A 12,836-nucleotide genomic window follows, 5' to 3' on the forward strand; every position below is an offset into this window, starting at 1 on the left:
ATGGTGTTCTGTGGGTAAAACGTGTTGCCTTAAAAAAAAAAAAAAAAAAAAAAAGCCATGGCTAGATTGAAGCTTTTGTAATTAGCCAAATGTTTTCTTATACTATAAAAACAATATAGGCCGGGCACAGTGGCTCACGCCTGTAATCTTTGCACTTTGGGAGGCCAAGGCGGGCGGATCACCTGAGGTCAGGAGTTCGAGACCAGCCTGACCAAAAGAGAGAAACCCCCGTCTCTACTAAAAATACAAAATTAGCCAGGTGTGATGGCACATGCCTGTAATCCGAGCTGCTTGGGAGGCTGAGGCAGGAGAATCGCTTGAACCCAGGAGGCAGAGGTTGGGGTGAGCAGTGATCGTACCATTGCACTCCAGCCTGGGCAACAAGAGTGAAACTCTGTCTCAAACAAACAAACAAACAAACAAAAACAGTTTAAAATATTGTATTCTGTCTTTTTAATTTTGGCTACAAAAACATTTCTCCCTTGATTTTCTTTAGTGATCTATTTTAAGCATTATTTTTGACAAGTTTTAATCTATTCTTTCCTTTCCTATAATTTTTTTTTTGTTTTATTAAACCTCTTGAGATTAAATATATGATTAATGTGACATTCGGAATGCATGTATATAGAGTTAAAACATTATTCATGACTTTACCATAATTACTCCTTTATTTCAGATGAGGTGGAGGACCATCCTGCTACAGTATTGCTTTCTCTTGATTACATGTTTACTTACTGCTCTTGAAGCTGTGCCTATTGACATAGACAAGACAAAAGTACAAAATATTCACCCTGTGGAAAGTGCGAAGATAGAACCACCAGTAAGTGAAATGAAGTGAAATGGGAGGAATTATAACTAAATGAAATGAATTATAATTGTAACTAAATGAGGTGGAATGAGGTGAAACTATAACTAAATGAAATGAGAGGAATTATAACAAAAATATTGCTAATATTTATTACTTATAAAATTGTACACTTGGGAACTATTTCTGAAATAGCAGTGAAAAGAGTATTGGCCAAGCATATGCTGTTTACCATTACACAATATTTATTTAATATAGTTAGTATATTAGATAGAAGAATTAATCGTAATACATTTCCAACACAGACCTGACTAGCCAAGAAAACACTGTATTATATTCAAAGCAGAGGCAGATAACAATGGGGAGAAACCAAAGTGGTAAAATCTTCATTGTCTGAACTATATAGAAAATCTACTGGACTAGAGAGTGTCGTAAAAAAGAAAAATCTACCTTTAAGTAACAATAAAAGATGATATTGGTTCTGATATAAAACTATTTATTTCAGAAATATAGCTTTTCACTTTGTTGAAACTATCAAAGTAAATATGTCTTAATGCCATTTTGCTAGAAATTGTTTCACAGGATTGACCTCTTTAGATTCAAACAAGGAAAAACCTGCAGAAGCATTACTGTTGGTTTCTTAATTTGAAGGATACTGGACTTTATTATGATGAATATCTCAAGCAAGTGATTGATGTGCTGGAAACAGATAAACACTTCAGAGAAAAGCTCCAGAAAGCAGACATAGAGGAAATAAAGGTAAATGCAATTCAATAATATATACATATATGTATCTTAATTTAAAATTTTTTTAGAGATGAGGTCTCACCATATAACCCAGGTTGGCCTTGAGCTCCTGGGCTCTAGTGATCCTCCCACCTCAGTCTCTCCAGTAGTTGGGACTACAGGTGCGTGCCACCATGCTTGGCTTAAATATTTAACAAACATTTGCACGTGCCAGGCACTGAGCTAAGTACCAGAAATACAAAGATGAGATTTATTCCCAGCCCTTAAGGAACCCTCAAGGGAAAATCATATCCAGAAATAGATTATAGGATGGATTATATGATGAGTATTTAATCTAGAAATACAGAAGGCAGACACATAATCTAATATGAAGCAGTGGGGCGAGGTGGGAAGTTATTCTTCCTAATAGAGATTATGCCAGAGCTTAAAGATGTAGTGAGAAAAGGAGAGGTACTGGGAGGCATCCTAGACAAAGGTGCAATGGTACAGAGGCAAGAAGTATATGGGAAACTGGAAGCAGTAACTGTGGCTAGACCCCAGAATGGGAAATGGAGGCCTGAGTGGCCAAAAGATGAGGTTTGGAAAGAATCACAGTCTCGTTGACAGAGGGCCTGTATATCATGTTAAGGGGTTTGGGTCATTATCTGAGGACAGTAGGAAGTTATTCAAAAGTTTGGAATAGGTGAGGTCCTGGTGTTTTAATCAGGTCCAGATTAACAGAAGAGATAATGGGCTATGTATTATATCAATCAGAGAGGTTTAACCATTTGACTCTGTCCTGAGAACCCTATTTGACATAATTCCAGCCATAGTCAGCTCTTCAGTACTCATAATAAGAAAGGGGGTTGTAAAGATCTGACATGAGAGATTCTTGTAAAGTCTTTCCTTAAAAGGAAATGAATCAGTTTAGCTGGGTTTATCTTAGACTCAGTGAGTAAAAAAAAATCCAGTTAATTTTAAAATTCCAATAATGTCTCCTAAGATAATTTTGTTTGCTTATGTTACCTTTATTTATTTAAGTTTTACTTTCTTAAAAAATTACGTTGCTTTTTTTCTAGAATCAGAATAAGAGAACTGTGTTTGAAAGACTCATTCTGGGTCAAACAAACCTTTTATTTTAGTTTCTGTTCTTGGTGTGAACTTCTTTGAAAGACTGACTCCCGTTAGGTTGTGGTGTCTGTCAGCGCTCAGGTGTGGCATTTAGTTCGCAGCTCTCCTCTTGGAAGTTGTGAACTTTTCTGGGGAAAAGGTAATAGTGTTATGCTAATAATTCCCCGGAATTGTCTTTGAGGATAATCCTACTCTTCTTCTGAAGGATTAATTCGATCTGTGGAACAAGTTTCCTATGGTGAATATATCTGATGTAGAACTCTTAATGTCTTGTATCAGGAGTAAGAACGTTATTTGGGGTGACATAGAAAATGTGGATCATGGGAGATACTACATAGAGATATTCAGGCAAAAGAAGAAAATAAGCTTCCTGGATTGGTGCAGGGAATACTTTTATAACTATCTTCCTTTCACATTCAATTCCTGTTTCTATGAAGGGTTAGGGGGAACCAAAATGAAGTTAAACAGTTACACAATAAAAAAGAAATGAGGGTCCGTGTGTGGTGGCTCACGCCTGTAATCTCAGCACTTTGGGAGGCTGAGGCAGGTGGATCATGAGGTCAGGAGTTCAAGACTAGCCTGGCCAAGATGGTGAAACCCTGTCTCTACTAAAAATACAAAAATTAGCCGGGTGTGGTGGCAGGCACCTGTAATCCCAGCCACTCGGGAGGCTGAGGCAGGAGAATTGCTTGAACCTGGGCGGCAGAGGTTGCAGTGAGCCGAGATTGTTCCACTGCACTTCAGCCTGGGCAACAGAGTGAGACTTCGTCTCAAAAAAAAAAAAAAAAAAAAAGGGGGGCCGGGGCAGTAGTTCACACGTGTAACTTTGGGAGACTAAAGCAAGAGGATGGCTTCTAGCCAGTAGTTTGAGACCAGCCTGAGCAACATAGCGAGACCCTGTCACTACAAAAAATTAAAATTTAAAATTAATTTAATTAAAAATTATCCTTCAAATTAAAAAAAAAATCATCTGAGGCCAGGCACAGTGGCTCACATTTGTAATCCCAGCAGTTTGAGAAGCCAAGGCGGGAGGATCACTTGATCCCAGGAATTCAAGAACAGCCTAGGCAACATAGTGAAACCCCTATCTCTACCAAAAATAGAAAAAATTAGCTAGATGTGGTGGTGTGTGCCTGTAGTCCCAGCTGCTCAGAAAGCTGAGGTGGGAGGATCACTCGAGCCCAGGAGTTTGAGGTTGCAGTGAGCCATGATTATATGACTGTACTCTAGCCCGCATGACACAGAGCGAGACCTCATCTCTTAAAAAAGAAAAAAAAATGAGTAAAACTAGACAATAAAACGCAAACCAATAGAATCATCACAAATAGCCAAGCAAAGACTTCTGTTTCATAAAAAACTGACAAAAAAAAAAGTTAGAATTTTCTCTTTCCTTTTTTTTTTTGTTTTGGGACAAGGTCTCACTCTGTCACCCAGGCTGGAGTACAGTGATGCAATCTTGGCTCACTGCTACCTCTGCCTCCCAGGGTCAAGTGATCCTCCCACCTCAGCCTCCCAAGTAGCTGGGATTACAGGTGTGGGCCACCTTGTCTGGCTAATTTTTGTATTTTTAGTAGAGATGGGGTTTTGCCATGTTGTCCAGGCTGGTCTCAAACTCCTGACCTCAAATGATCCCCCTGCCTTGGCCTCCCAAAGTGCTGGGATTATAGGCGTGAGCCACCATGCCCGGCCTCTCTTTCCTTTTCAGCTAAGCATTTTGAAAGGAGAATCATATTACATTTCTTCACTTCCCAAACATTCCCTAACTGGAAAGGTGATGGTACTGCCCTCACTGTTCCACTGAATATACCTTCATGGAGGGCATCCATGACTTCTTAATTGCCAAATCTAGTGAACATCCTAACATCTTTGATTCCTCATTCTACTGGGCTCCTTTATTTCTCTCAATAGTTTTTAGATTTCAGGGTTTGTTAAAACATATTGCTGTTTCCTACCTTCGGGGTGTCCAATTCAGTAACTCTAGAGCCTGCATTTCTGAAGTTCCCTGGTGATGCTGATGCTTCCAGTTGGGGACTACATTTTGACAACCATTGTTTTATCTAATAATAATGACTATTCTCTCCTTGAAATATACTGCTCTTTTTGATTCTGTAACAGTATATTCTCCTAGTTTTCCTACTAATTACTCATCTATGAAGAAAGTAATCAAAAGAGACCTAAAAAAGATAAATTTTGAAAAGCTTTTATATATGGAATGACTAATGCTTATAGAGGCCCACTGACTTTTAACTTAATTTAAATGTTCTTTTTTGCCCTAATGGTGCTGACCAACTTAACTTTTTAAAAAAATAACAAGCCAGGTGCGGTGGCTCACACCTGTAATCCCAGCACTTTGGGAGGCTGAGGTGGGTGGATTGCTTGAGCTCAGAAGTTCGAGACCAGCCTGGGCAACATGGCAAAACCCTGTCTCTACAAAAAATACAAAAATTAATCAGGCATGGTGGCATGCATCTGTAGTCCTAGCTACTCGGGAGGTTGAGGTGGGAGGACTGCTTGAGCCTGGGAGATTGAGGCTGCAGTGAGCCATGATCATGCTACTGCACTCCATCCTGGGTGACAGACTGGACCCTGTGTCATAAAATAAAATAAAATAAAATAAAAATAAATACTTTGTTGACATATAATTCATACACCATAAAATCTATCTTTTTAAAGGATAAAATTCAGTGTCTTTTTGTCTGTTTTTGTTTTGTTTTTTTTTGAGATGGAGTCTTGCTCTGTCGCCCAGGCTGCAGTGCAGTGGCATGATCTCAGCTTACTACAACCTCCACCTTCCCGGCTGACACGATTCTCCTATCTCAGCCTCCTGAGTAGCTGGGACTGCAGGCATGTGCCACCACACCTGGCTAATTTTTGTATTTTTAGCAGAGATGGGTTTTCGCCATGTTGGCCAGGCTGGTCTCAAAACTCCAGCGCTCAAACGATCTATCCACCTTAGCCTCCCAAAGTTCTGGGATAACAGGTGGGAGCCACTGCACCCTGCCATTTCAATAGTTTTTTTAAAATATACCCACAGAGTCGTGAAATCATCACCACTATCTAATTTTAGAATATTTTCATTGTTCCCCAAAAGAAACTGTGTGCCCATTAAGCTGTAACTCCTAATTGCGCCCCTTTCCCCAACCACAGCAAATCTACTTTTCATCTCTGTGGATTTGCCTGTTCTGGACATTGCATATATGTGGACTCATACAATAAGTGGTTTGTTGTGTCTGGTTTCTCTCATTTAGCATAATGTTTTACAGGTTCATTCATGTTGCAGCATGTGTCAGCATTTTATACTTTTTTATGGCCAAACAATATGCCATTGTATTGGTATACTATATTTTGTTTATCCGTTCATTAGTTGATGGACGTTTAGGTTTCTGGTTTTTTGGCGAGTATGAATATGCAGCTATGGATATTATGTTTAAGTTATTGTGTTAACATGTTTTCTGTTCTTTTAGTTATATATCTAGGAATGGAATTGTTGGGTCATGGTAACCCTATGTTTAACTTTCTGAGGAACTGCCAAACTGTTTTCTGAAGTGGCTACACCATTTTACAATTTAACCTTTTGAGTTTCTGCTTTGTGCTTTAATGATGCTTTTCTAAATTACATGGTTTTTCAGACACCTTGATTTTAGAGTTAAAGCTAATCTTTTTTTTTTTTTTTTTTTTTTGAGACGGAGTTTCACTCTTGTTGCCCAGGCTGGAGTGCAATGGCATGATCTTGGCGCACTGCAACCTCCGCCTCCTGGGTTCAAGCAATTCTCCTGCCTCAGCCTCCCGAGTAGCTGAGATTACAGGCATGGGCCACCACACCTGGCTAATTTTTGTGTTTTCAGTAAAGATGGGGTTTCACCATGTTGGCCGGGCTGGTCTCGAACTCCTGACCTCAAGTGATCTGCCCGCCTTGGTCTCCCAAAGTGCTGGGATTACAGGCGTGAGCCACCGCGCCTGGCCTTTTTTTTTTTTTTTTTTTTTTTGAGACAGAGTCTCGCTCTTGTCGTCCAGGCTGGAGTGCAGTGGTGCAATCTTGGCTCACTGCAACCTCTGCCTCCTGGGTTCAAGTGATTCTTCTGCCCCAGCCTCCCAGGTAGCTAGGATTGACAGGCGTGTGTCACCATGCCCAGCTAATTTTTGTATTTTTAGTAGAGACGGTATTTCGCCAGGTTGGCCAGGCTGGTCTCGAGCTCCTGACCTCAGGTGATTACCCACCTCAGCCTCCCAAAGTGCTGGGATTACAGGCGTGAGCCACCACGCCCGGCCCTAAAGCTAATATCTTTTGAAAGAAATTCTTTTTATAATATTAAATTTATCTAAATTAGTCAAAAGTATTTATCACTAATGTATTGTAACCCTGTTTTTAAGCTGTTGCATTTGTCTAAAAATGGAATGTAATAGATAAAACTAACTTACTAATTTTGTTAACAGAGTGGGAGGCTAAGCAAAGAACTGGATTTAGTAAGTCACCATGTGAGGACAAAACTTGATGAACTGAAAAGGCAAGAAGTAGGAAGGTTAAGAATGTTAATTAAAGCTAAGTTGGATTCCCTTCAAGGTAAGTGCTAAACAAAAGGTAGGATTTTTTTTTTCTTTTTTCCTTTTGAAACAGCGTTTTACCCTGTGGTTCAGGCTGGAGTGCAGTGGCACAATCACAGTTCACTACAGCCTTGACCACCTGGGCTCAAGTGATCCTCCCATCTCAACCTCCTGAGTAGCTGAGACCACAGGTGTGTGCCACCATGCCTGGCTAATTTTTTTTGTTAGTTAGACAGGGTTTTGCTGTGTTGCCCAAGCTGGTCTTGAACTCCTGGGCTCAAGCAATCTTCCTATCTTGACCAAAGAGCTGGGATTACAGGCATGAGCTGGCGGGCCTGGCTAGAAAATTTTAACATTTGGTTGTTGAGGTCAGTTTATATTAGTACGTGCCATCTATGTTCTTCTAGTCAAAATTTTATGTTAGTATTGATTTGGCTTCTCTTAATTTTTAGAATTTAATGTTTTAAATAGATAATACATTTTATATCATTCAAAAATCAGTATAATAAGCCATAATTATAGCAATGAAAAGGAAGAATGAAAAGTAATCAATTAAACAACTGGTTTAAAGAAGGAAAAATAATATTAAAGGAAACCAAAAGGAAGCAGAGAAAGAATATCTAATCAGAAGAATTTTCATACATGGAATAGAAAATTTTTCAGAGATCTAGCCCCAGAAAAAAACACAAGATCCAGACCATTTCTTTTCTTTCTTTTTTTTAAAGAAAATCTTTTAGGAGACGAGATCTTCCTCTGTCACCTAGGCTGGAGTGCAGTGGCATGGTCATAGCTCACTGCAGCCTTGAACTCCTAGGGCTCAGGTAGTCCTCCCACCTCAGCCTCCCAAGTAGCTAGGAGTGCAGGCATGCACCACCATGCCCTGCTAATTTTTTTTTTTTTTTTTCTGAGATGGAGTCTCGCTCTGTCGCCCAGGCTGGAGTGCAGTGGCGTGATCTTGGCTCACTGCAAGCTCTGCCTCCCGGGTTCACACCATTCTCCTGCCTCAGCCTCCCAGTAGCTGGGACTACAGGCGCCCACTACCACACCCAGCTAATTTTTTGTATTTTTAGTAGAGACGGGGTTTCACCATGTTAGCCAGGATGGTCTCAGTCTCCTGACCTCGTGATCCACCCGCCTCGGCCTCCCAAAGTGCTGGGATTACAGGCGTGAGCCACCGCACCCGGCCTAGTTGTTTTTTTAATTACGTTTTTTAGAGATATGGTCTTGCTGTGTTGCCCAGGCTGGTCTCAAACTTCTGGCCTCAAGTAATCCTGAGTTGCTAGGATTACATATGCATAAGAATAAGTTTCATAAAGGGATACTATCTGTCTACTCTTTAATGATTTGAGTGATTCTATCAAACCATTAAAGAGCAGATTGTCAATTCTATTTAATCTATTCCAGAGCATAGAAAAAGAAGGAAAGCTTCCACATTCTTGCCATATATTGATGCCAAAATCAAAATTATTATGTCTCCAAAGAATACTATCTCATGACAGTTGGATTTATTTCAGGAATATAAGATGGACTTAATATTAGGAAATCTAATATTATAAATCATCATATAAATAGTCCTAAGGAGAAAAAAATCTTTAAAATTTTGATGTATCAAAAAAAAGTCATAAAGTCAAAGGACAAATGATAAATTGGAATAAATATTAGAATCCTTATTCTTTTAATTTTAGGCTATGAGAAGATTAAATAGCTATGTAATAGAATTTCCGAAATGCAAGGATATCTTAAAGTTATCTTGCTGGGCATGATGGCTCACGCCTGTAATCCCAGCACTTTGGGAGGCCGAGGCGAGTGGGTCACCTGAGGTCAGGAGATTGAGACCAGCCTGGCCAACATGGTGAAACCTCATCTCTACTAAATATACAAAAATCAGCTGGGTGTGGTGGCACATGCCTGTAATCCCAGCTACTTAGAAGGCTGAGGCAGGAGAATCGCTTGAGCCCAGGAGGCAGAGGTTGCAGTGAACTGAGATCACGTCACCTCACTCCAGCCTGGGCGACAGAGCGAGACTCCATCTCAAAAAAAAAAAAAAAAAAGAAAAGTTATAAGTCATATGGCTTTCTCCATGTATGCAGAAAATCCATTTGACAAAATTGAACACCAATTCATAATTTAAAGTAATAAAATACTAATTAATAGATAAATTCTGTAACACGATAAGCTATATCCAACTCAGTTACATCATACTTAGTGGGGAAGCACAAGTATGTATCCTGACTGAAATTAGAAACAAGACAGTGTTGCCCACTGTAACCACCACTAAATAACATCGCTTTGGAGGTACAAGCCAAAACATTTATTTATTTTTAATTTTTAAATTTTTAATTTTAATTTTTTTTTTTTTGAGACCGAGTCTCACTGAGTCACCCATGCTAGAGCATGCAGTGGTGCAGTTTCAGCTCACTGCAACCTCCGCCTCCTGTGTTCAAGGGATTCTCCTGCCTCAGCCTCCTGAGTCATTGGGATTACAGGTGCCTGCCACCACTCCCGGCTAATTTTTAATTTTCAGTGGAGACAGTGTTTCACCATGTTGGTCAGGCTGGTCTCGAACTCCTGACCTCAGGTGATCCACCTGCCTTGGCCTCCCAAAATGCTGGGATTACAGGCATTAGCCACCGTGCCTGATCTAGCCAAAACATTCATACAAATAAAAAAAATTTGGAGGTAAAGTAATTGGAAAGGAGGTGATAAAACCATCTTTTTTCACAGATGATATGATGTTTATATATATGTGGAACACCCAAAATAATTAATGGAAAAAATTACTATAAACAACAGGAAAATTGAGCCCCTCAATAGGAAAATTATGGTAAACTTAATCCGTAGAAATCAATATTTTCCATATGTACGTAACAGCCAGTTAGAAGACAGAATGGAAGAAAAGGACTCCATTTACAATAGCAACAAAGATAAAATGTCCAGAATAAACCTACTCAGAAATGTGCAAAACTGACAGACAAAAACTTTAAAATACTCATGAAGGATGCAAAAGTAGACTTGAATAAGTGGGAAGACACAATAACTTTTTGATACAAAGGCTCAGTGTTATAAACATGTCAGTTTTCTCTAGATTAATATATAATTTAAACATAATCCAAATAAAAATATATACTTTTATTTTTCTGGCACCAGCCAAGTGAATTTTTCAAAGTGCATATGAAAAAGGACACGAGTAGGCCAGGCATGGTGGCTCACGCCTGTAATCCCAGCACTTGGGGAAGCTAAGGCGGGCGGATCACCTGAGGTCAGGAGTTCAAGACCAGTTTCGCCAACATGGCAAAACCCTGTCTCTACTAAAAATACAAAAATTAGCTGGGCATGGTAGCACATGCCTGTAATCCCAGCTACACAGGAGGCTGAGGCAGGAGAATCACTTGAACCTGGGAGGCAGAGGTTGCAGTGAGCTGAGATCACACTATTGCACTCCAGCCTGGGTGACAGAGTGAGACTGTGTCTCAAAAAAAAAGAAAAGAAAAAGAACACAAGTAAGAAAACTTAGATACCTCTGAAAAAGAACAATAAAGGACTAGATATTAGAAATTGAATCTTTAATATCTATTAAATCTTTAATATTGAATATTAAATTATGTCACTAAGCCTCAGTCATTAAAACTGTATGGCTTAGGCAAAAAGTGGAAAGACCAGTGAAACACAACAGACATTCCAGAAGTAGAGTTAAACACACAACATAATTTAGTTTAATATAAAGGTGATATCTCATTATTAGTGGGATAAAGATAGGTTTTTATTTTTATTATTATTAATTTTTTTTTTTAGACAGGTCTCACTCTGTTGCCCAGGTTGGAGTACAGTGATGCAATCATAGCTCATTGCAGCCTCAGACTCCTGGGCTCAAGAGATTCTCACACTTCAGCCTCCTGAGTAGCTAGGACTACAGGAGTGTGCCACCATGCCTGGCTAATTTTCTTTTTTTTTTGGAGAGAGAAAATCTCACTGTGTTCCCCAGGCTGGTTTGAGGGAACTCCTGGCCTCAAATGATCCTTCTGCCTTGGCCTCCTAAAGTGCAGGGATTATAGGTGTATGCCACCACACCCAACACATTTTTAATTAAGTAGTGTTGGTATAACTTGCTAGCCATTTGGACAAAGGTATAGTTAAAACCACATCTCTTATATCCTTTATCAGAATAATTGTAAATGAATTAAAGATTTAAATGTAGAAAATAAAATCATAAAAGTACTATGTGACAGCACAGGTGAATTTCCTGTATTATCTTGGAATGAACTTTCTAATTATGAGTCAAAATCAAAGAGTAGATTTAGCCAGTGGAAGATCTTTCAAGCTGGTTCATGTGTCCTTGTGATAGCCTCCCATAGGTTGGTTATCTGGGTGGTTTGTTGTCATTAATAAACATCTGAACATTTAACTCTTGGAATAGTGGTTCTAAAACTTCAGATTGCATGAGAATCTCCTAGAAATCTTGTTAGAAATGTAGATTACTAGATCTCACCTCCAGAGATTCTGACTCTGGGAAAGAGTATAATAATCTACATTTTAAACATATAGTCTTAGAAAACAAATACCAAATACTCATCATCCTGAAATTAAGGATATCAATGAGAAGTAAATTGAGTCATGCCATGCTACTTGGGGTAGTCAGGCATGCAAGGTAATTCCATACTTAAAGCCAGGCCTAAGATGTGTGGAGATTTCTCTCCCTGGGACAACTTCCATCCCCTCAGTCTTAACAGTATCCTCTTCATTCCAAGATGGGTACTGAATTTCATTGCATAAAGAAAACAGTGTAGGCTGGGCGTGGTGGCTCACACCTGTAATCCCAGCACTTTGGGAGGCCGAGGTGGGTGGATCACCTGAGGTCAGGAGTTCGAGACCAGCCTGGCCAACATGGCAAAACCCTGTCTCTACTAAAAATACAAAAAAATAGCCAGATGTGGTGGCATGTGCTGCTAGCTACTTGGGAGGCTGAAGAAGGAGAATCGCTTGAACACAGGAGGCGGAGGTTGCAGTGAGCCGAGATCATGCCACTGTGCCCCAGCCTGGGTGACAGAGTGAGACTCCGTCTCAAAAAAAAAAAAAAAGAAAAGAAAACAGTCTGATGTAACTTTTAAACTAAGGAATATTGTTTTCTCATTGGTTCAGTATGAATTGAAATATCTGATAATTTGAGGAAGGGCTTAAACAGTCTTAATTTTAGGGAGGGGGGTAATTTTTAAAGTAGGCAGTTTTTATTCTTTTTATTGAAATGGAGTCTGGCTGTGTTGCCCAGGCTGGTCTTGAACTCCTGAGCTCAAGCGATCCAACTGCCTCAGGCTCCCAAAGTGCTGGGTTTACAGGCATGAGCCACTGTGCCTGGCCCATTCACGTGGTTCAAATGTAGAAAATGTAGAGCAAAAATCTACCTGATATTTTTGTATCCTGTCAGTTCCCAATGTCCCCTAACACCATCCTCCTTGGGTTTATCTATTTGTTTATTTTTAAGTTAAATAATTGAGATGACGTTTTGCTATGTTGTCCAGGCTGGTCTTGTACTCCTATTCCTGGCTTCAAGTGGTCCTCCTGCCTCAGCCTCCCAAAGTGCTGGGATTATAGGCATGAGCCACTGTGCCTGACTCTTGAGTTTCTTTATATATAAGCA

The 12,836-nt window shown here is 39.7% G+C and overlaps 1 protein-coding gene across 53 annotated transcripts in view; it reads left to right on the forward strand.

The window, feature by feature from the left end:
- NUCB2 (nucleobindin 2) overlaps positions 1 to 12,836 on the forward strand; it is a 73,242-nt gene that overhangs the window by 17,909 nt on the left and 42,497 nt on the right. For all 53 annotated transcript variants that reach the window (XM_024448553.2, XM_024448538.2, XM_024448540.2 and 50 more), the window contains 3 exons: positions 677 to 820; positions 1,457 to 1,564; positions 7,097 to 7,223. In XM_024448553.2, the coding sequence (XP_024304321.1) occupies positions 677 to 820; positions 1,457 to 1,564; positions 7,097 to 7,223 (379 nt within the window). The remainder of the gene's footprint in view (positions 1 to 676; positions 821 to 1,456; positions 1,565 to 7,096; positions 7,224 to 12,836) is intronic.

This window comes from Homo sapiens, chromosome 11, assembly GCF_000001405.40.
Source record: "Homo sapiens chromosome 11, GRCh38.p14 Primary Assembly".
In the NCBI taxonomy this organism is placed as follows: Eukaryota; Metazoa; Chordata; class Mammalia; order Primates; family Hominidae; genus Homo; species Homo sapiens.